This window comes from Homo sapiens, chromosome 5, assembly GCF_000001405.40.
Source record: "Homo sapiens chromosome 5, GRCh38.p14 Primary Assembly".
NCBI lineage: Eukaryota > Metazoa > Chordata > Mammalia > Primates > Hominidae > Homo > Homo sapiens.
This window is the reverse complement of record NC_000005.10, coordinates 109687326-109710890: the sequence shown is the minus strand read 5'-3', so window position 1 is coordinate 109710890 and position 23565 is coordinate 109687326. Positions and strand designations below refer to the sequence as shown.

The 23565-nt window shown below is 42.2% G+C and overlaps 1 protein-coding gene, 1 long non-coding RNA gene and 1 pseudogene across 5 annotated transcripts in view, besides 6 other annotated features; 2 read left to right on the top strand and 1 right to left on the bottom strand.

The window, feature by feature from the left end:
• MAN2A1 (mannosidase alpha class 2A member 1) overlaps positions 1–20964 on the bottom strand; it is a 179699-nt gene extending 158735 nt beyond the window's left edge. For 3 of the 4 annotated variants that reach the window (XR_007058604.1, NM_002372.4, XM_011543395.4), the window contains exon 1: positions 20339–20964. Coding sequence is in view for 2 of the 4 variants with exons in the window: in NM_002372.4 (NP_002363.2) it covers positions 20339–20473 (135 nt within the window). In the remaining 2 variants the exon portion in view is untranslated. Of the gene's footprint in view, positions 1–18988; positions 19010–20338 lie in introns of those variants that run through there. The other variant, XM_017009472.2, reaches the window with a different exon arrangement.
• RN7SKP230 (RN7SK pseudogene 230) lies at positions 11057–11289 on the top strand (annotated as a pseudogene).
• Positions 19792–23090, top strand: MAN2A1-DT (MAN2A1 divergent transcript). Its single transcript, NR_186543.1, has one exon. It is a non-coding gene; the product is annotated as an MAN2A1 divergent transcript (long non-coding RNA).
• Positions 20101–20200: a silencer, noted in NCBI's record as "silent region_16228". NCBI's record gives its function as "represses an Ori minimal core promoter by ATAC-STARR-seq in GM12878 lymphoblastoid cells {active_cell/tissue: GM12878}" and the evidence as "EXISTENCE:reporter gene assay evidence [ECO:0000049][PMID:35858748]".
• Positions 20611–20820: a silencer, noted in NCBI's record as "silent region_16227". NCBI's record gives its function as "represses an Ori minimal core promoter by ATAC-STARR-seq in GM12878 lymphoblastoid cells {active_cell/tissue: GM12878}" and the evidence as "EXISTENCE:reporter gene assay evidence [ECO:0000049][PMID:35858748]".
• Positions 20851–21370: a silencer, noted in NCBI's record as "silent region_16226". NCBI's record gives its function as "represses an Ori minimal core promoter by ATAC-STARR-seq in GM12878 lymphoblastoid cells {active_cell/tissue: GM12878}" and the evidence as "EXISTENCE:reporter gene assay evidence [ECO:0000049][PMID:35858748]".
• Positions 21381–21670: a silencer, noted in NCBI's record as "silent region_16225". NCBI's record gives its function as "represses an Ori minimal core promoter by ATAC-STARR-seq in GM12878 lymphoblastoid cells {active_cell/tissue: GM12878}" and the evidence as "EXISTENCE:reporter gene assay evidence [ECO:0000049][PMID:35858748]".
• Positions 21640–22308: an enhancer, noted in NCBI's record as "H3K27ac hESC enhancer chr5:109024284-109024952 (GRCh37/hg19 assembly coordinates)". NCBI's record gives its function as "activates a minimal SCP1, AML or CMV promoter by ChIP-STARR-seq in naive H9 embryonic stem cells {active_cell/tissue: H9 hESC(naive)}" and the evidence as "EXISTENCE:reporter gene assay evidence [ECO:0000049][PMID:30033119]".
• Positions 21781–21880: an enhancer, noted in NCBI's record as "active region_22883". NCBI's record gives its function as "activates an Ori minimal core promoter by ATAC-STARR-seq in GM12878 lymphoblastoid cells {active_cell/tissue: GM12878}" and the evidence as "EXISTENCE:reporter gene assay evidence [ECO:0000049][PMID:35858748]".
• Positions 23091–23565: the final 475 nt, after the last annotated feature.

Below are 23565 nucleotides of genomic sequence, written 5' to 3'. Positions count from 1 at the left end.
TGGAGAAACCCCGTCTCTACTAAAAATACAAAATTAGCTGGACATGGTGGCAGGCGCCTATAATCCCAGCTACTTGGAAGGCTGAGGCAGGAGAGCCACTTGAACCCGGGAGGCGGAGGTTGTGGTGAGCCAAGATCGCACCATTGCACCCCAGGCTCGGCAACAAGAGCGAAACTTGGTCTCAAAAAAAAAAATAGGTAAATAATAAAAAAATAAAAATTAGCTGGGTGTGGTGGCATGCACCTGTAGTCCCAGATACTCGGAAGGCTGACGCAGAAGAATTGCTTGAACCTGGGAAGCAGAGGTTGCAGTGAACCAAGATCGCATCACTGCACTCCAACATAGGCGATAAAGCGAGACTCCGTCTCAAAAAAAAAAAAATACCACATTTTATCTTATACTTACAATATTATAATACTACAAACTTAATACATGAGTGCCCACATTTCTCCAGATCTTTCTGTACTTTGAGGAAAAGATCATTTTAGAGCCATATACACAGCAAAACTGCCTATAGCTCAACAAGTACACACTGAATAAGAAGACAACCCTTCCTGGGAATATTTTTATTATGGCTTTGGTCCCATAATCCATGGATAAGAGTATTATTCAAAATAAACATTAGCTAGAGGAGTTAGTTCATGAAAAAAGGATCCTACAGCCATTAAAGATGACTTTCAATCTCATTTAGCTTTAAAGATATCATTAATGATCAGTACCTGGAATTCTGTACTGAATTAAGTACATGGAGAAAATTATGGCCTAGGGATATATGCACACAATGGTCTAAAGAACATCATTTTTAAAATTATATTATGCGGTGGAATAAAGTCTCCCTCCAAACAGGTGAAATTCTTGAAATGAACACCCTCATAAGCAAATTCTGTACATGTGACAGAGAAGAGTGGAATGACCTTAAAAGGATGCACTTGTAGTCTGCATTAAAGAAACAGAAATCATAGATAATGCTTCAATTATGCTGAGAAGTCAAAGAATACTTATAGTAACATTGAAAAAGACAATTTTCTGTAGGGCAAGAAAATCACTTATGAGAAAACTACTTTATTCTTTGATTTGCTAATCAGTTCTACAGGGAGGCCACAGCATTGCACCGCTCAGGAGTGGGGAAGGAGGTCATGATATTTGATTTACTCCGCTTTTAGTGAAAGAGAAAAACCAAGCAAAAAATCACATATCAAATACCTTTGAGAGAACAAATTTAGAGTCTACCACAAGGTAGAACAGGCTCAGTTACCACTCAGTCCTATGAACAAAATCAATCAATGTGTATCTACAGCTAAATCCGTAAATTTATTACATAATTATTTGCCTCAAATAGGACACTACCCGCTGGTATTGGCCTCACTGTGATCCTTCCAGCATGGCTGAATCTGTGTATCTTCTCCTGCCTTCCTGGAAAACTGTGTGCCTTTCCTTCTCCCTGCTTCAAAGGCCAACCCTCTGCCGAGCAACAATCCCATTTATCTCAACTGCTCCAAGGCTTTGTTCTTTGCCCTTTTGATTAAACCCTCTCAATATTGCTCAATCAAGTTCCACTTCTAAAAGCAACTCATTCTCAGTAATGTAACATGTTCTATTAGATCAAACTATACGAAAATGCCATTCTCATAGGTAAAACATAGTCAAATATCACCAATTTCGTAAGGTTGAACTTAATATTTATTATATGCTATATACATCTAAAAAAGTCAAACTCTGTGCTTCCACCCTCCTGTGCTTAACCCCATGTGATGGTTAATTTGGGGTTCAACTTGACTAGATTAATGAATATCCAGATAGCTGGTCAAACACTGATTATTCTTCAGGGCTTCAGTAGGCACTGGGCCCATCCTTTATCTACTCAAAGTGAAACCCAGGTGGTTTAGCAATTGATTAGAATTATTGAGCTGCCCCAGGTGTATCTGTGAGAGTGTTTCCAGAGGAGACGGTGTGTGAGTGGACTAAGTGGAGAAGATGTGCCCTAAATGTGGTAGTCACCATCCAATCAACTGGGAGCCCAGATGGAATTAAAAGGCAGAGAAAGGGCAAATTCTCATCCTCTCTAAGAGCCTGGCCGCTTTTCCTCTCCTGCCATTGGATGTCAGAACTCCAGGTTCTCCAGCCTTTAGACTCCAGACTCACACCAGTGGTCCCTGGGCTCTTGCACCTTCCACCTTGGACTGAGCTCCACTATTGGCTTCTCTGGTTCTAAGGCCTTCAGACTTAGACTAAGTCCTGCTACCAGCTTCTCTGGTTCTCCAGCATGCAGATGCAGATGGCCAATAGTGGAACTTCTCAGTCTCCATAATCAAATAAGCCAATTCTCCTAATAACTCCCTTCTCATGTGTGTGTGTGTGTGTGTGTGTGTGTGTGTGTGTGTCCTATCAGTTCTGTCTTTCTGGAGAACCCTGAATAAAACATCTTACATTCCCATTCCCCTCCAGGGCCCCACCCACTTCATGTACCGGGATTATCAAAAGTTTCTCTCTACTCATTATCCCCCTTCCTTACAAACTCCCATTCATTCATCTGCCCATTACAATCAGCATCTGCTCACCACTCCACCAAAACTGACCTTGTAAAGTTCCCAGAGGCTCCCATGTTTCAAGCCTGATGAAAAGCACTCTGCCCTTACCTTATCCGTCATCTCAGGGAGTATTAGGCACAATGGAGCACTCCTTCCCTCTGGAAATGTTTTCTTTACTCATTCCCAATACAACATGCCCTAGGTTTTCCTCCTGCCAACTGTTTATCAGTCTCCTTTGCTGGCTCCTTCTCTCCCAAGCTCTAAATGTTAGAGCACCTCAAGGTTAGCTTCTTGAGCCTCTTACCTCTCTATACTCTCTTACATGATCTCATCCACTCCATGATTTAAATTCCATGATGTCTCCCATATTTGTATCTCCCGCTGAAACCTCACCCCTGAAAAACAGACCCATATATTCAAATACCTGCCTGATGCCTCAAATTGGCTTTCAAACTTAAGTCCAAAAATCATCCTCCTCAAAAAGACACCTACAGTCCTCAGATCTCCAGTAAAGGGCTTTAATCTCTACCTAGTTAGGCACCCTCAAAATCAAAACATTGTACACCACAGTCAGTAAGGACTGAATATCTCTTTCTCTCAACTTAGCTTCACCTTCATCTTATCTCCGTTCCAAGCCAGCTCCTCCCCACCCTACCCTAAAACCTTTGTACATGGTCTCTGTTTACATAATGCTTCAACTCTCATGCCAAACGTCACCTCTGCATAGCCTTCCCCAGCCAGTCTAAAACAGGCCTCCTCATGTTATGGTTTATCTCAATTTATTTCTTGTTTCCTCCACAGTGTTATTACAATTATCTATTTTATTCATGTATTGCTTCCCTCTTTTCCTCACTAAATGAATCCCTATATTGACAACAGGCACCATAGCTGTTTTACTCAATGTACTGTACCCTGATGCCTACCTACCTAGCACACAGCAGGACCTTAGGTATTTATTGGGAGAAAAAAAGGAAGGAAAGAAAGAAAAATGGCATGTAACATTTTTTTCTAAGTATTCAATGTTTTGGCATACAAACCCACACCAAAAATAATACAAATAAAAACAAAACACACCATTTTTGAAGAAAGAAAATCCAAAAGAAGTCTTCACTGCATCCCAAAAAGTAGGTAAGAATGGGAAGGAAAGAGCTAATTAATAGGGTGGTTTTCATGGGCTGTTTGGGAAATAACATAGAATGGGACCCACGTTGGCCACAGGATGACAACCATGACCTGGTGAATAGAATACAATATGTGGCTCCCTTTCTAGAGCAAAGATTATGGATTCTGTACAGTCCAATCAAAAGTTTTCCATTTTCACTACCATCACTAACCTGGCTCAAGAGACTATTATTTTCACCTCTTGTGGGGAGTGAAGGAAGTTTGGAAAAAGAACCCCAAGATAATTCTGGACTATTTCCTATCATGGTAGTGATATAAGATCTGCACTCAACCAAATCAAGTTTCTAGTTATAAGAGCTGTAGAAGATATATATGTTTATAATATACCCACCGATAGCAGCATTCAAAAGAAACAAAACTTTACCCCAAAGTGTATGCATGTATCTGAAACTTAGGATCTATACCACCTTTCATTTATGTTTTTTTTTTCCTTCAAATCTAATTGTGTTAGATTCAACATATCACTCCAACACATCAAGTTCTTTCTGGACTCTGATTATGTCATCAAATGTGCCCACCATGTAAGAGCAAAGATTACCTTTATCTTTAATGACATCCTTCACCAGATAAAGGTGGAAGCAATTCAGCTTAATGGCTAAGCATTGGCTCCTGTTCAGGCTATCTGGCTTCCAATACTAGTTTCCGCACTTATTGGCCATGTGATCTTGGGGAAGTAACTTAATCCTGGGCCTCAGTTTCTATGGGCAAAATGCAGATACTAATATCCATTGCTTGGACTGGCTGTGAAAGAATTTAGCACAGGACCTGCCAACAAGTAAGCAGTGAAGAAAGTATTATTGCAGCTGCTGCTACATAGTAAAAGTATGGCTTTTGAAAAATCACTTTGAAGGGTACTACAATATGCACCTCCAGATAGTATGTGTCATAATTAAGAACAGACTCTGAAGCCAACCAAAATTTGAATTCTGGCACCACTACTTACTGGCTATGTAACTCTGGGCAAGTTCAAAGTTACATAACTTCTCTGTGCTGCAGTTTCCTCATCTGTAAAATGGGGAGAATAATACCTAACTCATAGGGTTGTTATGAGGATTAGTTAGTATATGCAAGTAAATTTAAATAGCGCCTGGTGCAGTAAGCAGAATAATGTTTAGTCAAAGATATCCCTGTCCTAATAATCCCTGAAATCTGTGAATACCTTGCCTTACATGACAAAAGGAATTTCACTGATGTAATTAATTTTAAGGCTTTGCAGATGGGAAGAAAACCCTAGAATATCTGAGTAGGCCCAATGTAATCATAAGGAAAAGAGGAAAATGGAAGAGTCAGGCCAGAGAGGGAGATGTGAGGACACAAGAAATCAGAATGATGCTATTGCTGGAAGGCAGCCTTGAGCCAAGGAATGCACTCAGCCTCCAGAAGCTGGAAAAGGCAGGGAAACAGATTCTCCCCTGGAGCTCCAGAAGGAATGCAGCTCTGCAGACATCTTTATTTTAGTCCAGTAGGGCCTGTTTCAGACTTCTGACCTAAAGATCTGTATGATAACACATTTTTCTTGTTTTACGCCACTAAGTTTGTGGTGATAGCAGCAATAAGAAACTAATATACTTAGCAAATAGTTGGCCCTACAAAAATAAAGCTTATATTCTTATGCTTAGTCCTTTTTAGAGAAATTCTTGCCCAAATCTCCATCATCAGAGCTGGAGAGCCATGACCCTAAGGAGCTGTGAGCCCAAGCAATGGAGGGTGAGGCCGTGCAACCTCATAAACTGTCTTCCAGGGGCATAATTTGGTCTAACAAGGCTCTACACCTAACTTTGAATAAAGGAGTTAAGAAAAGACAGAGTCACCCTTTATGGTTCAAAGTAATTTTCAGAAAAAGCAGCATCAACATCTTTATCTTAGACTGAGTTTTAGAATCAATCAATTAAAAAATTTTAAGCCATTCTGGAGCCACAGTAGGGCATATGGAGTAAAAGACTGCAGTTTGCCAGGTAAAAGCCATGGTAGCTTGGACAGGAAGGGAAGGAACATGAAAGAATGACAAGAAAGATGAGTTAGGAATGGGAGGGGCAGGAAAGGAAAAAAAATTGGCATTGAGTTTTTTGCTAGGGCAAGGGGGAGGATTATGGGTGGCATTTTAGAGGAACAGGCCCACAAGCCAGTTACTGGGGAGGAGACAGAAGGGCAAATGTTATATTCTGAAACTATTAGATAGCTGAATGGTGGTGTCAGTGAACATGCAAGTCTGGAACTCAAGAGAGAAGTCAGGGCTAAATATATAAACTTGAGTGGCCAGAATAAATATGAATTTCAAGCAATGGGAACAAATGGGATTACCTAGAAAAGCGCAGAGATCTGCCTTTTATAATTTAAAATGGCTCACCAGGCGATTCTCACACATCCCCAGTTAAGAAGCGCCGCATTAAAGCTAAATATAGGAACTGCGATTTGGTAAAAGAGAGTCTGTATTTCCAGCAGGGGTGTCATCGTTATTGCTGCAGTCCCTGGTCAGTCAACCACTATTCAATCTCTACAGAAAAACCCTGCCTTTAGTCAGATCTCTGGAACTTAACAGGAAGGCTTTTGGGCTTGATAAAATGACAGGTAACCCTCCAAGCGCCCACTCCACCCCTTAAGATGTGTAGTGCTGAGGCCAAAAAGAGTGTGAACTGGGGCTGTGGCCACGATTCTGTATGTATCTCCACCTGTCTGTCAATGAGCCACAAGCCAGTTATAAATAACCTTTTAATGGTATTTTCCAGACTCAGAGCCTAACATGCCTGAATTTCTTCCAAATTGTGCAATTTGTCTTTGTGCAGCCACTTGTCCATTCAAAGAAATAAATGCCCTCACGATGTGAGCACAAAAAATACGTAGCTACAGAATACCTTACCAAATTGCAGAAGCAATATACTCTTTGCCCAGGCAAATCATTTTTCATAAATCTCACACCTGCCTAGGTATGACAGTAACAGAGGCTGCTCAGATGCAGGTAAGAGTGCCAAATGACTGTGAAGGGAAAAGCTGGGACTCCAAGCCCAACATCCCTTGTTCTGGCAGAGCACTCAAGGGACTCATGACTACTGCAGCTGGGCCACCAACTTAGTAGCTGCCAGAATCACTACACAGGATCCAAGCCCTGACCTCAAATAATAGCATCTCATTCCCTCACCACCCTCCTCCAAAAATGTGGTCAGGACTCCAGTTGCTGACGTTTTCTACAGGTTCCAGGAGACAGCACCAGCTCCACCCTATGAGTTTCCAGATGTATGTTTAGATTAGAACCATATGGCCCTATCTGCACCAGCCCAATATGGCTGCACAGAAACTACCTCCTGTTGAGGCAACATTTTAGACATCAAGCTATTACATAAAATGAGACTATGCAAAACAGATAACCACTTAAAAGTGAGTGGAAGAAGGGTGTATAACTAGGGCAAAATGTGTAGATTATAAAATTTTAATAAAATGCAGTTTTATTACTTACAAATCCATTTAATAACTGCAATTAAGTGGCACTAAACATATTAACTGTTGACTAACAGAACTCTTTCTTTAATTCAGCACTTCCCAATCTGTTCTATGGAACACTATTCTTTGCAGGATTTTTTTTTAAAAACCACACCGACTTTACTTCTAAAACTTATTTTTAATTTATATTCTTATGCTTAGCACTCTGACAGAATCTGTCAACAGTGTATCCCACCCAAGAACTTGCATGAAGGTTCATGTGATATGCTTTCAGGCCTTAACAATTCTCAGCTAGCTAAACAGGGTCATGTTGTTAACACATCATATAGGCAATGGTTGCTGGTCTATGTTGGTAATCTGTCTTACATGTTTGACAAATGCTTATCTTTGTACACAAGGTTACTAGGCACTATCCATTCACACTACCTAAACACATTTACCATGAATTAATGCCATGTATTGCATGTTAGGATATGCTAACAAAAGTTCTGTCAACATCTTATAATTTTAAACAAGTAATTTTGACAAACAATTTCAAAACAAAAAGAAAATAATTGTCAGTAATCAACCTAAACAGTGTTGGCCTATTAAAATAAATGCAACTGACATGTCTGAGATCGTTTTTCATACAGAAATAGTTTTGGAAAGCCTCTGAAGGCAGGGTTGTATTAAGTAGATAATCAACCCCCCTTCAACCTTATTTATACTAATCATCTCCTGAATAAGTCCCTTCTATTTCTTATTGACAGGGGACAGGTATTTAGGCAAGTCTCATCTGAATTATTATAAATTCTGAATTTCCAAACTACTCTTTATACAAGCACTACAGACTCTAAAGTTTTACAAATTCTTTCCTATTGCCTTTCTTTATAAAAATCCATCTGTAACAACTGGTCTACAAGGGCAAGGTGAGACACAGAAGCAACAAATGCAGTAGTAAGACATAACATAATACATAAAAATACATTAATAGCAAACTTCTAAATATCATACCATTGGTTATCAAAGATGAGTTAAGGATACAAATTTCTGGAGTTCTTCTCAAATCTCTTTTGTTTAAAACAATTATTGGTTGGATCTTCTACCTAAAAGTAGCAAGAAATATCCTATACATCAAGTGTTGTTATTTGACCCTACAAATTTTCCAGAGGTAGCCCAGGGTCAAAGACAGTTTTTACTTCTCCAGTTCATGGGGTCACCTACCAGCCCAACAGAAGGGAGTTTTTCTTTACTATCAACAAGAGGCAGTTTGGAGGGTATTCTCAGAAATCTGTCTGACTTTCAGAACAACTTTCAAACTTCAGCCCCCTATTTGGGGTGTTGCATTTTGATCCTTAATAAATCTCTCTCTCCCTCTCCACCACCGGGCTGCCCATCCTCCCTACACACACAGACACACACACACACACACACACACACACACACACACAATTTATGTTCTGTCTTAACCCAGAAAAAAAATAATTTAGTCTTATCATTTGTGCCAAAGATGAGAAGGGTCTTTTTTAAACTCTACTAAAACGCTTCTTTGAAATCCTTCCTTCTGATCATCTTATCTTTTCTTAGGTAAGCTGATCCATGAGCTGCTGGTTTCTGACAATTTGAACACAAGCTGCTTTATTTCATTAACATCTGCTACAAAATATTCTTAATGTAAGATGTGCAGCTTTTGGTTATCAGAAATGTACTTGGCCCTGCCCTCACTAAGCACAGTCCCCAAGTGAGCTCATTCATTCTCGGCTATGCTGATGACTACCAGATCAGCATCTCCCTTCCCTGATCTCTCACTGGCTTTCCAGCCCACTTGATTATTTCCACTAACATCCACGTCATCATAAATGAAATGAACTTGACTTTCCAGATCAGCTTGTCCCTATCTCCTTCTGCAAATAGTACAACCAGTCTCCAACACCCCAATGGAAAAAGGTAGGAGAAATTTTCTGATTCAAGCCACTCATCATTACCCTTGATCAAACCTGTTAAAAAGCTTTGGTCTTTCTCTTTACAAAATGTCTCCACATTTTTCATCCTCCCGATTCTAGCCAATTCAATACTGGTACAGGGATTTACTGCCTTATGTCTATATTACCTCAAACAGATTCTCAGCTGCCTTCCTACTTGAATCTTCCTACACACAGCTACCAGAATAATCTAGATTGAATATTCTCTTAGCTCCTTTCCAGGTCTGAAATTTTCTACAAAATTAATTCTCTCACACTGCTTTTCTCAAGCAGCTTCCTGGTATATTCAATAACTTGGAGTGATTCACTACCATCTAACTCATAACTCTTCAGACAAACTCTCAGGGCAATTTGCAATCTGATCCTGAACTACCTACAGTGTTTTCCCAACTACTCTTCACAGGCACCAAAGATTCTAAATCAAGCCAATCTCCTCCAGGATTCAAAGCCTTCATAAGCACCGTACTTTACACTAGCAATTTTCTTTCTCCCTTCAAAGTATCGTCCCATAGGGAAAGCTTAGCTTCTTTACCCTCTCCTTTAGTCAACTTAAGCCAGGCCATCACCAAAACTTGTTTCTGTTTTTGAGTTCTCTTTAAGGCCTTTGTCTTTATATCAGGAATGTAAAATAATATCATTGACTCTTGTTTTAGTCTTAGCTCCTGTATTCCCAGAACCTAGAACAGTGCCTGCTACATAATAGGTATGCTACAAATCTCTGTCCATTGGTAACAACTAGCATTTACTGAGCACTTACTATATGCCAGGCAACATTCTAACCTCTTTAACTTCTAATGAATAATAGCACTTAACTGGCTCTAATAGTTTCACAAACGGCAGTTTTGTTTCCCTAAATAACTAAAAAGTTCTTTCAAAACAAGTAACATATGTCTACCACAATTTCCATATTACCTAACCCAGTAAATTTTCAAATATATGTTGGATATGGGTATAGTACAGTGGAAGGCCAGTGAATTATAAGTCAGGATGCATGTCCCAGGTATCCTGTGACTGGGCAAATTGCTGAGGTCTAGTTTATGTGTGACTCGGTGCCCTTATCTGAAAAATCAAAGACTAAAAATTACCTGACCTGGAAGGACCCAGCCTACTCTACAATTCTGTGCCTGAATTTTTCATGACTTTTCTGGAATGCTGGTGACTGTTAAAAGAATGACTGCTTCACTGGATTCTAAAAACACCAATTCAGGACTTTATGTAGAAAATGATTCTAAGAATGATTCACATTCTCAGTCTTCAATGTTCCGATGCTCTACAGGTAAAATGTTACCACCAAGGCCAGGACCCATAAATGCCACATTCCTCTACATCTGTGGTATGAAGAAACAGAAGGGAACTGCTGCAAAGTACATCTTCAGCCCCGAAGTCCTCACCCTGAAGGGAAAGGCTTCTCATCACAAAGGAAACAAAGCACTATCAGTTCTAGAAGAAGCATGGCAGTTTGAGGAAACAGTAATTGTGAACGACCAAAAAAAAAAAAAAAAACCGGCAAAACTTCATACTTTCAATCCTGAGTAGGCACAAGGGACCAAAATGTTGGTGCATAATGAGTTGTAAAATGATTTTTTAAATAATGAGATTCAAGAGACAGGAATCAATAACTTCTATTTCCTCTGACGCTAACAAAAAGGGAAAGGAATTAGAAATAGACAGAAAAAACAAAAACTACATATCAGGAAGTCATGGTCCAGAAGTTAAGGAAACTGAAATATAGCATGATTCTCACCAGCTGGAATATAAGAGACTCCACTTGCTCTAATGCTCAGAATATTTCCTTCAAGTGGCACAGGTGTAATTATCAAGATTATCCCTCCTTCTTATGAAGCCAAACTACCTGACATATACTGCATGGTATTTAATATCATAAAATTGAAAACACTATGTACTGGTTTTCTTTTTTTTAACATTTTTTATTTCTTTAACTGACAAATAGGATGTGAGGGCGATCTGGCTGCGAAATCTGTCACCCCATTGATCGCCAGGGTTGATTCGGCTGATCTGGCTGGCTAGGCGGGTGTCCCCTTCCTCCCTCACCACTCTATGTGAGCCCCTCCTGAAGCTGCATGCTCAGTCGTAGAGGATGACCATCCCTGATGGAGGACGGGTCTTCGGTCAAGGGTATACAAGGAGCTGCACTCCCCTGCTGGAACCTCCAAACGAGCTCTAACTGACAAATAAAAATTGTATATATTTATCAAGTATATCATTTTGAAAAATGCATACATTGTAGAATGCTAAATCAAGCTAATTAACATATGCATTACATCACTTATTTATTCTTTTTTGTGGTGAGAACACTTAAAATCTACTCTTTGCAATTTTCAAAACTACATGCTTTATTATTAATTATAATCAGTATGTTGTACAATAGATCTCTTGAACTTATTCCTCCTACCTAAAATTCCGTATCCTTGTTTACTGGTTTTCAATTTTTGTAACCAACCTATAGTCAGAGTACATAACACATTCAGTCACAGAATGAAATGTAGATGATATAAGGTATGTTGATGTAAAAAAACTGATGGCTGAGGGAGGGTGAGAAATGAGAAGGAAGAGAAATTGAGTGGGAGAAGGCTGAGAAGTACCAAATTCCTTGACTGACAGAGTGGGGAGTCACTTTAGGCCTAAAGTTGATGAATCAAGAAAACAAATGCAATTACATCATTGAAAGCTGTTAATGTATATCAAACAGAAATTGAATACAAAACTTTTTTAAAAACTGGGAAGAGTAGGGGGTATTGAGTTAAATTCTTCATCTCTTATAAAGGGAAACAATAGCTCAAAATTGAAACAAAAATCAAAACAGAGGTATATGCATATATTTAAAGAAGGAACCACACATGGAACATAAAGAAATGGTCAGAAGTGGGACTCAGAGAAGAGTGGACTAAAGATGGGGAAAAAAGGGAGAGGGATTCTATTGTCAATGTGTACCTTTCTATGTCATTTGAATTATTTCTATGTGCATTTATACCTTTTACATGTTTAAAAGAAAAAAAAAATCATTGGTAAAGTCCCAGCTCTCCGGACTCCTCACTGAAGCCAATGAAGTGCACCAGCAAGAACATAGGACAGGGTCAAATTTAGAGTCTTCTCTGCTCTTGGAAAAAGCATTTAATTTCTCTGGACTTCCAAAGGCACCACCTGCAAAGGAGGCCAGTGGTAAATCCATTTACATGTGAAAAATACACAAATGCATACATTTTTAAATGCAAAAAAACAAATACTTAAAAAACTCTACTTAACACTAACCTTAATACTACTCGATGAGACGCATTACCCCCATTTTGTTCGGACTCAGTATACTGCAATTTAAAGATGATACTAAAATCTGTGAGGACACAAATGGGGTGTTAGCCTGTGTCACAGCAACACAGCAAAGAAAGTGACATATAATCTTTAAAAGTGAAGAAAATGATGAAAATTAGCAAGAACTGCTCTTTGATAAGCAGAAGAGCAGGCCAGTACCTCTGCTGACAACCTGAAAGTACCCTGCCTCCAAGCTGAGCAACGCTCAGGATCCCAGAGACCGGCTGAGTTCCATCTTCTATTTACAGCTTATGAAGAAGATACCTATACCTGAGCTCTCCCTTCTCAGGACTAACTAACCCAAGCAATCAGACTGGGCTCAGAATTAAGCCCATCTGTGAATTACAGCAGATCCAAAAAGTCATAAAGTCATGGTTTTCAGTCTTGAAGCTATGGATCAATTTTGCCTAGTTCATGGCCCAGAACCTTCCTTCCCAGAGCAGTCCTACAGTGCAAAACCTTCAGGTGAAAGAAGAGAAACAAACTCATCAAGCATGTCGATGCTCTAGCATCAAAGTTCCCCAAGGATACCTGGAAATCTATGAAACATGTAGATAACACAAGTTTTAAACCACTCTCTAAAAACACAAAGTTTGACCAATGCTTATCTAATAACCAATTTACGAGAATTTTGTTTGTCTTTAATTAACTCACATCTACTTTAACAGATCTAACAATACTATTTGCCTCCAATATTAACAATAGAGAAATATAGTTTAAACTAGGGATTGGCAAACTCTGAAAAGGGCCAGAGAGTAAATATTTTAGGTTTTGTGAGCCAGTTTCTGTCTTAACTACTAAACTATGCCACTGTTGTGTGAAAGTGGTCAGAGACAATTGGTAGATGAATGACCATGGCTATGTCATGAAACATTATTAAACCACTTAAAAATGTAAAAACCATTCTTAGCACATGGCCCTATAAAGACAGGTGGCAGACAGATTTCACTCATAGTTAGCTGACTCAGCAGAGTTCAAAACCAGAGGCCTTGGAGACAAAAGAAGGAAGATTATTTGTCAAGAACTTCATTCTTTCCCTAACCTCCCACCTCCACCCCACTTTCGTAAAAAATGCTATTTAGAGGACAAAATGAAATGATCAGGAGGAAAGTCTCTATCCACTCTCCTTATTTTCCAGTTTCTTTCCCTGCTTTTTCTCATCTCAAGAAGATATTTAAAATGTTGTAACCAGAATCATCAAAATTAACAGAAATAAAAACAATACACTGAAAAGTAAACAGTCTGCCTGAGAAAACTGCAGACATTTCAAAACATTTTTGCAGACAATTTTTATACTACCTTATTAATCAATATATCTTATCTTCCTATGCTAAGAGGAATAAATCTGGATAAGTGCCAACCTGTAATTCAGCTGGAAGAAAGTAAAAGATGATCTATTTACAATGACCTGACCCTAATGTTTTTCTCAGAATACACACGTCCAATTGGAAAAGAATTTTTTTACGTTCCATTATAAGAATCTTCCATTTTTTCCTTCAACTTACCTATGAACATAATCTATCCTTGAAATTTTTTGTAACATACTACAATCTAGAATCCTAAATGTGTAAGTGAATTTCAGGCATCCTGAGAAAGAATAGAGTTCACCCATCAAAAAATGCTAATTGGCTTTTTGAGCTTCGGCCTTTTGATCAATCCTTCCTAAAACACAGAAGTGCTAACGACATGTACTGGGTATAAAGAAGAGGCCACAGCCAACACAGTTTCAACAGGGATGATTCCCACTCCCAGAGGATATTGAGAGCAGTGTCTGGAGACATTGTTGGTTCCTACAACTAGGGGTACAGAGAGAGAACAGTGATGTTGGCAGATATCGGGTAGACAGCAAGGATGCTGCTAGACACCCTACAACGCACAGGACAGCCCTTAACACGAAAGAATTCTCTGGCCCAAAATGTCAACAGCAAAGAGGTTACAAAGCCTGGATAGAGGCAGCAAATGGTAGAGTATGTCCAGTTTTAAACTAAAGTACTTTCTCTTCTTTAGAAAACAGTATGTTAGATTTAGAAATTTAACATTAAGATATTTAAGAGATACCAACCAGGCGCAGAGGCTCACGCCTGTAATCCCAACATGTTGGGAGGTCAAGGCGGGCAGATCACGAGATCAGGAGATCGAGACCATCCTGGCCAACATGGTGAAACCCCGTCTCTACTAAAAATACAAAAATTAGCTGGGCATGGTGGCTTGTGCCTGTAATCCCAGCTACTCGGGAGGCTGAGGCAGGAGAATCGCTTGAACCCGGGAGGTGGAGATTGCAGTGAGCTGAGATTGCACCACTGCACTCCAGTCTGCCAACATAGTGAGACTCCGTCTCAAAAAAAAAAAAGATATATACTAGATACCTACTATCCACCTGTCTGCATAAAATATAATTACCTTAAACAGGGCACTCTTTCAGAAAAGCTATGATATGACCTCAAGTGACAGAGTTCATCAAACCAAATGATTTACTTCCTCCCTATTATAGGCACATTTAGCTATACTCACTAAAGCACTAGATGTGAGCTCCATTTCAGTACAATTAATCCTCAAACCTGTCTGAATTTAAAAATGGTTTCAAACTTAAAAATAGCAGCTTGGCTTGATAACTGAAACAGAAACCCATTTTAGTTAAAATGTCCTACTTCCTCTCCTGATTAACCTACTAATAACAACTGAGAAGCAAAAATCACTATTTTAGAGTTCTTCCTCCTTGCCTTAGTTCTGCTCAAACTTTTATAAAAGCTGCTGCTATCAGGAACTTTTACCAAGACAGAAGGGATAAAAAATGCAATAAGGCCTTTACAATCCAGCAAATACAGGTCATCAGAGCTGCTAAATATCCTTTCATTTTCTTAAAGATTACAGAAGTTGGAGAACAAGGGAAAACTAAGACTCCTGAATGCAAAAAAAGCTAAGAATAAACCAGGTGATCAGCAACAGCTAGTGAACCACTCATTCCAGGAAACTCTCAACACTTCAGTCCTTCAAAAAAGACTAAAGTTTTCAGTTATCACAAAAAGCAATAGCTGACTCAAAAACAAATAAAAGTGGTCATTTTAGCCACTATTTTGCCCACAGCCCAGACACCTCTTAATGCAAATTAAAAGCTAAGAGAGAAAATCCCCTTCCAATAATACAATTGTGACATCTCCCTGACAAAAATATTTGTTTAGGCCCTGATAACAGTGTTCATCTGGGAACAACACACCCAATTCAATTTAAAAAAAACAAAAAACAAAACATAAACTACTATCTTCAGACCACAGACAGTCATGAGTATCTGGCCCAGTTGGTTTACAGGAAATAAGTTTGGGTCTTAGTGAAAAATGCTGATCAGGAAGAGACCCACAGGGCTGTTGGACTGAAGAGGAGTTAGAGGACACCATCCTCAAAAGGCTCTAATGTTTGTTCTTGCATTCCTAAATGCTGGATGCACTATCAACGTTCCATCACTTCCCAAAAAGCACAGATCTCCGCATTATATCCCAGAAAATAAGACAATCTCCCTCATACAAACGTGAACAAACCCCAGCACCAAGTGCTATTGTTTATAAATAGACTGCACTCAAGGAAGGGGAAGGAGATCATATTTTCCTTATATGTCATTCTTAAGTAAGATTTACAGATTTATGAAAGCAAGAAAAAAACTGGGGAATCAAAGTCCTAGTTATATGTATTGCCATGAGTCAACTTTCATTAATAACATCTACTATGCTGGACTCTTAAGTACTACTGATGTAAAGTATGTAAGCACATTTCTGTATGTGTATTACAGTAAGTTAAAAAAAAAAAACACAAAAGGCAACTGGGAGCAGTGAATCACACCTATAATCCCAGCACTTTGGAAGGCTGAGGCAGGAGAATAGCTTAAGGCCAAGAATTTGAAACCAGTTGGTCAACATAGTAAGACCCCGTCTCCACAAAATAAAAATTTTAAAACTGGCTGGGCACAGTGGCATACACACCTGTAGTCCCAGCTACTCAGAAGGCTGAGGTGGGAGAATGGCTTGGGCCCAAGAATTCAAGGCCACTGCAGTAAGCTGTGATTCCATCACTGCACTCCAGCCTGGATGACAGAGCAAAACCCTATCCCAAAGAAAAAAAAAAAAAGGTATACAAGTTCTCACCTTCTAATGGCTTTCAATCAAATGCTTATTTAAAGGCATTCTCACTTTCTCACTTGATAAATGTTACATAGGCAAAAAGATAAAGTTTTAACTTCACTTTCACATTTTCCATCGGAGTCTCAATTTCCATATTTTAAGAGTTAATATTAATCTCTACGGTCATATGCTACACTAATTACTTAAAAAGTGATCATTTGTTATACAAAACCTGACTCATTAATTTACTTCTCCAGATCCAAACATCAGACTAATTAATAAGACAACCCTATTATACACACCATAGATAGTAAGCACCTTGTGAAATCTGCTTGTAAGAAGTGATGACTAATTTCAGGGAGACCTTAACAAAGTTTCTCCTTTCCATCTGCTCAAATTCTTCCAAGTTATCATAAAGCATTTTCAAGACATTAGTCTCTGACCAACCTCTCATTCACAGTGGAATTTTTATTAATTTTCTTAGCTGAGATTTATTAACCCTGAAATATACACACAAGTTTCAACAGATTAGGCCCCCTGTTGCCTCTAGTCCTCCAAGGAATTCCTCCCAGAAGCAGAAGCAAGGCTTCGGAGTGCTTCAGGATAGACTTCCAAAGAATATCTTAGAGGCAGGCAGCTGTTCCGGGGTGAGAGAAACTGGAGCACCCTCGGCCAGCCCACTCTTGCCCCAGAGTCCAGCCAAATGGTGGAAAACACCAGAGTTGTGAGAGAAGAGAAAAAGAACAAACCCCCGCTCTCCAAAAAAACAACAAATAGATTGCTCTCAATCTAGGATGGTCTTTAAAAATATCTTGTTTACAAGATAGACCTAAAGCCTAGTGAAGGTTCCGTATCAACTGAAACCAACTAAATGGGCAATTTAGAGGAACCCAATACCTATCTAAATAAACCGTTCTACTAGATACCAAAAAATGACACATAGTGACCGACCTGCTTGGCTCTACTAAAACTCAAGAATTCAATACCCAAACTTGCCAAACAAATGTATTGCAACCTCCTTTTGCTATGTTTGGTATTATTAAGAATAAGTTAGAAGCAGTGAAAAAAAAAAGAATCAACTCAAGTTCTGGATGCTGGACTACACAATGGTTTTCATTATAATGTTTAGCTCTGAAATGAGCTCAAAGACATTCTGGGAAGGGTATAAATCTCTAGCAGTAAATGTTTCAGAAAAAGGACCATATTCATTATGGCTTCAAAATAAAAGTTCCTTTAGTCATAAGCTAAGGTACCAGAGAGCAACATGCTCTATACAGGGGGCAACCAACCCCAGGGCCATGGACCTGTTAGGAACCAGGCCACACAGCAGGAGGTGAGTGGCATAGCAGGTCAGCAAGCATTACCGCCTGAGCTCCACCTCCTGTCAGATCAGCAGCAGCATTAGATTCTCATAGGAGCACGAACCTTATTGTGAACTGCGCATGCCAGGGATCTAGGCTGCATGGTCCTTATGAGAATCTAACGCCTGATGATCTGAGGTGGAACAGCTTCATCCCCAAACCATCCCCCGAAACCCCCGACTCCCCCCATCCCCACCCCTGTCTGTGGAAAAACTGTCTTCCAGGAAACCAGTCCCTGGTACCAAAAAGGTTGAGGATCACTGCTCTATATTTTACATCAGATCTTTCCATAAGCAAATGGCAGCCTAAACAGTAGGCAACAGATTCCTAAGAGGCAAGACAACTCAGTGGCTGGGAGCCTGGGCTACAAAGGCTACCTGTTCAAATCTCAGCTTGCAGCTGTGTGATCTTGGGCAAGCTAATTAATCTCTCCGTGCCTCAGTGCCTCAGTCCCCTCGCCACTTAAGTTTTACCCTGTAAGATACGAAGGCTAATGTCACACACATAACGGTTAAGCTTACAGAGGGGTCTTAGAATGTCTATCTGCTTGAGGATTCAGTGGCCGTCCAAGCACTTAAAGAATACCTTCTTTCTGCAGTGAAAATCCAGTACAGAAAATCTGAGAAAGGCAATCTTAAATGCAAAATGTTCCACCTCCCAGTTGAGTACCAACAGCCTTCCCCTCCAGCAGCCACTTTGACCTTTCATCAAATGCTTTACGCTTAAAGCAGAACTTCAGCCTCTCATTGAGGACTAAGGATAGATATTACAATACTGGAATTAGCTTTGCCTAAGATTTCTCAGTAACTGAATGAGTCACTCATGTCTTTAGATTCTGAACAGAGAAAATGTCAAGGTTGCCAGAAAACCCAGGTCCAGATGTTTGCATAAACCATTTTCAAGTGATCATCAAGCCAAAGCCAAAGGACATTATTTTAGAAAACACTTTAAGTAAAAATATCACTTTTTATGATTTTCCTGTAATGGAGGAAAATCTGAAAATGAGGTTACTGGAGGGAAAAAAATTACAGTAATTTCAACCCCAAAATTACACAACATATCAAGCTAAGCTTAAAACTCCTTACCTTTTTCCAACTGTTTTCTTCAACCTCATCAAGAAGCACTGGACAAGCTCTGAGCTCAAGATTTAAAGATGCCCTCAGTGCTTGTTTCTATTTTCTCTGTCATACTACCTAGGGGAAGCAGAGGCTTTTAAAATTTTGATACATCTCTCTGCAGCAAGATTTTTAAAACCTCTCACCGACAAAACATGTTGAGTGCTCTGTATTGATGACAGCATCCATAAAAGGGTCTTTTTTCACTTTCACAATAATTCCAGTAAAGTTTTTACTTTAATCTCAATTAAATTCAAGCCATTTGCTCTAGCATAACACAAAAAAAATGGCAAGGATATTCTTTGGTCATTTAAGTTATCACAAAAGAGAAAAAAATATATATCAACTTCACGTCTAGGCTTCTCTTTCTCGTAAGTCAAGTAGGAATAGTTAGATTGCCCTGTCAGGGTTTGAGTTCTTCAGGTTCATTCGTTACAGAGCACACTACACACTACACAATACCCAGTTTCACCGCAATTTCTGAAGTGCACGGGTTATATTGGCAAGTAACTTGAAACTGAACTCGCACATGCCGCGCGGTGGATACCCTTCCAAAGGGAACAGACTGTGTCCGCTTTGCTTATTTTTGGTAACTTTAAATAAGACTTTGGATGGGTCGTCTTCCCAACTCATTTACCAATTTAACCACTGGACGCAGGACTGAGCGCCCCACAGCTTTCGGCCGGAGTATAACACGCGCTTCCCCACTCGGTTCCCCCTGTCTGCCACAAACAAACCAGATGTAATAGCTGAAGAATGACGACACTAAAATCAACCTAGAGATTCACATCTAAAAGGGCCGCAACACGAAATAAACTTCTCTCTCTTCAGAGGCAGCGGGGAAGAAAAAGAAAAAAAAGCCTAGGTGGGTTCGGTTTGATCCATTTCCGCGACTCCGTGCGCTCAGGGGCTCTGGGCTGGTGCGGGCGGCTTAACCCTGTGAGAGCCGAGAACGACCCCACCGGGATACGCGGGCCCCGGGCTGGCGGGGGGTGCCTCACGCCGCGCCCGTTCCCCCGCCAGCAGGTGCCCGAAGCCACCCCAACAGGCCGGGTGCGAATGCCGGAACATGGCCACTTTCCTGAGCGGGATGATGCCGCCGCCGCCGCCGCACGCCGCCCAGCACTTTGTTAACTTGGCGCGCCCGGGCGAGGTGGCTCCCAGGAGGTGATCATTGCCGTCCGAGAGCTACAGAGCCCCTGGCCTCGCCCAGCACGGGTGTGGGGCCGCGGCGGGAGGAAGAGGTTGGGTAGCAGCCGCTAACCAGGGGCCCGCACGCCTGGCCCCTCGGAGCCCCGCGCCCCCTTCCCAGGTGCTTACCTGAGGGAAGGAGCCCTCGCGGCGCGGGTTCCTGGGGTAGTCTAAGTGACCCCGGTCCAGCATCAGGTAGAGCGAGAAAATCACCACACAGAAGATCGCACTGCCGAACACGGTGAACTGGCGGCTTAACTTCATTTTCCTCGATAGACTCGGGGCCAGGACACTCTCCTCAGCCAAAGGAGACAGCGCACTGTGGACTCTAGGAAGCAGCCGCCGGAGGCTCCCTTCTCCCGGGCTGCGCGACCTCCGCGCTCTCGGATGCGGGTGCGAGTCCCCGCCTTGCTCCGCACCTAGTCTCCGGCGCCACCACACGCCCTTGGCCTTCGCCCTGGCCTGCCGCCCTCCCCGGGGTCGGGCGCCCCTCTCGAGGCGAGACTCGCCGGCAACTGGGAAGGGGGGCCCCCACAAACTTGATCGCAAGCTCAGCGCCGACCTCCGGCAGGGCGCGCGGGGCAGGCGGAGGAGAGGTCGCTGCCCGCACTTCCTGCCACCGCCGCCCCAACTGAGTCGGCAGGAAAAGTTTTCTCGACGAGGGCAGGCGTGTCCTCCTCACCCAGGGGAGGCGCGGGTTCGGCAGCTCCCGGGCCGGGGCCGCGCAGCTAGGTCAGAGAAGCGGAGGGGAAAGGAACAAGATCGCGAGGAGCCAAGCCCTACAACTTCTGGGCGGGACGGTCGGGCCCGCCCCCGCGGCACCGGCACCGCCCCCGCCTACCCCGACTGAGCCCCTTCGTGCTGCTGCCGCCGCCGCCGCCGACGCTGCGGCTGGGCCGATGTGCACCCCGGACTCCGGGGCTCACGGATTGATGAGTTTCCTCAGAGCTAGCGTCCGCTCGCCAGACTCTCCCGCCCCCCGCCGCCCCTACCTTCCCCCTCCCGGACCCAGGCTCCGCGGGGAGGCGCAGGGGGCGGGCGGCGGCAACGCGGAAAGAAGGAAAAGGAGAGCAGGGAGGAAAGGACCGTCCCCGGAGAGAAGCCCGCTCCAGCTGCAGCCGCTAGCCCCCTCCCTCTTTCCCGCCCCACAAACGCGGAGATGGCGGCGGAAGCGGCGAAAGGAAGCGCCGGTTCTCCAGCGCCACTTGGCGCTCCAGCACCGCCCGCCACGAGCAGGAGGAGACAGCGGCGGCGCAGCAGCCGCTGGGTCAATAGGCGCCCGCAGCGCCTGAGCCGAGCGGGCGGCTGGCCCCGCCCCCTCCCGACGCTCCGAGATGAGGGGGCGGGCCCCACGGCGCCCAATCACAGCGCGTCGCCCGGCGGACCCGCCCCGCGCCTGCCTCCCAGTGTCCCGGCGATAGGAAGACCTCACAGGGCTCTTGTGACCTGGCAGGCAGCTTTCTGGGAGTTGAGGCCTTCGGGGGCGTTCAGGCGCCAGCACCCCCACGTCCAACAGGGGTTGAGCTTACACCCCACTTCCCTTTGTTGCTCAGGTTTCCTATCCTAGGACACTCGGGCCTGGCGTGCCTGGAAGAGTACTTGGTGACGGGCTGGAGGAAATGCAAGAGAAGAGGGCTTGCACATTCTCTTCGGGCTCACTATTTCCTCCTTTGGTGACAGCCTGTTAAAACCTGGGGGAAAGGAGACTGACAAAGGGCCGTCCAGGCACATGTAGAAACATCTGACTACGAAATCCATGAGTGTAATCTGAGAAGTGATGCTTCTGCCAGTTATTGATTTATTGCCTCTCAGCTCCAAATTCGCCCTTTTTGACTGCACTGTAAAAACGGATCTGAGCCTTTTAAACAGTTTTTCGTTTGCCTTCTGGGACTGAAGCTTTATCAGCAGAGGGCGCTGAAGAGACATTACAGAAAAAAAGGATTTTGCTTCCTGATTTCTGTGTATTGATAAGCTTTTGCAGCATACCTGGCTTTCTCCACTGCCAAGGTCCTATAGTGCTCAGTAACTAGCAATTTCCTCTCACATGCCCAACTCTAGGAGCTTTGTAGAGGAGGTGAGACACTACCCCATGAATAACTTCCCTGGCACCCTAGAGGCATTTGCAGCAAGTTGCAGAGGGCACATCTTCCACAAGCTTTGCAGACGTAGCCCAATGGTGACTTCTCTGCCATTCAGTGAGCCAGGTCATGCCCTCTCCAAAAACGTCTAGATCTTAGCCCTGGGAGGAATTGGGGAGGTTCTTCATTGGGCACTCTGTCTCTCAACCCAAGAGTTAGTTATAAGGTTAGCTCCTTATAGCTGCTGTTGCTATATTCTTTAAAGTTCTCTTCTTGCTAGTGAATCCTTCATTACTCTAATCCTCTATTATAGTTAACAATTCTTTTTATTAAGCCTTCCCTGTCCCGGGAGTAGTCCCAAGAAATAGACCTGCAAAGATGGGATTAAAGGTCAGTTTGATTGAGGTTTTGAGCTTTAGCTCCTTGCCAAAGGGAAATGTAATTCATGACATGCTGGGCATCTCAATTAAGCAATTACCTGTGGTTGATCCTGATGAAGTGCCAACTGAAGCCTGTGCCTTGGGGCCCCAAGTGGCTGCTACACTTGACTGCTATGGTTATAAAGATGACTAGAAAGACTGGTGTGGGATGGATTCTTTTGCGTGCTTTTGAGTGGTTATAAAGAGAAATGACAAGCACAGGTTTTTTAACTCTCAGAGTTATGGTATGAGAACCAGAGATATTCTGCAGAATTCCAAAAGCTCTGGTTTATTGTAGCAACAAGAATTATGCTGAGAATCAAACAAAATTTTAATTTTCATGTTACTGAATTATAACTGCTATTAAATTCACACATATTCTGAGTTTTTCGTGTAAAATGGTGTTATTTTTTAATAATAGAATCTCAATACTTGAAATGGGTTGGACCCAGATGAAACCGACAATCTTAAACACGCCAACTCTTTCTCTTATCAGTGGAAGTAGGTTGCCCTCCAGTGTCTAAAGAGACTAGCCTTGCTTGAAAACCTTGACTATAGAGGATGCCACTATCTAGATGGGCTCCCTGATTTCAATGGGGATGACACGATCTCAGAATAGCAGAAACCAGGCAGCACATAACCAACAAAGACAAGGTGGGCGCACATGTACCTTAAAGGGCAGCAGGAAATCAGACTGCCTTGGCTTACGGAGCTGCTCTGAGAACAAAATAGATAGGCAGTTGAAATAGATTATTGCTTGATATTTATAACAGGTAAAAAGATCTAAGTCAGGTAGCCAAAACCTGACTTGAGTCACCACAGTGGATAGTCACAGTCTCTCAGTTCTCAGACCTAAGTC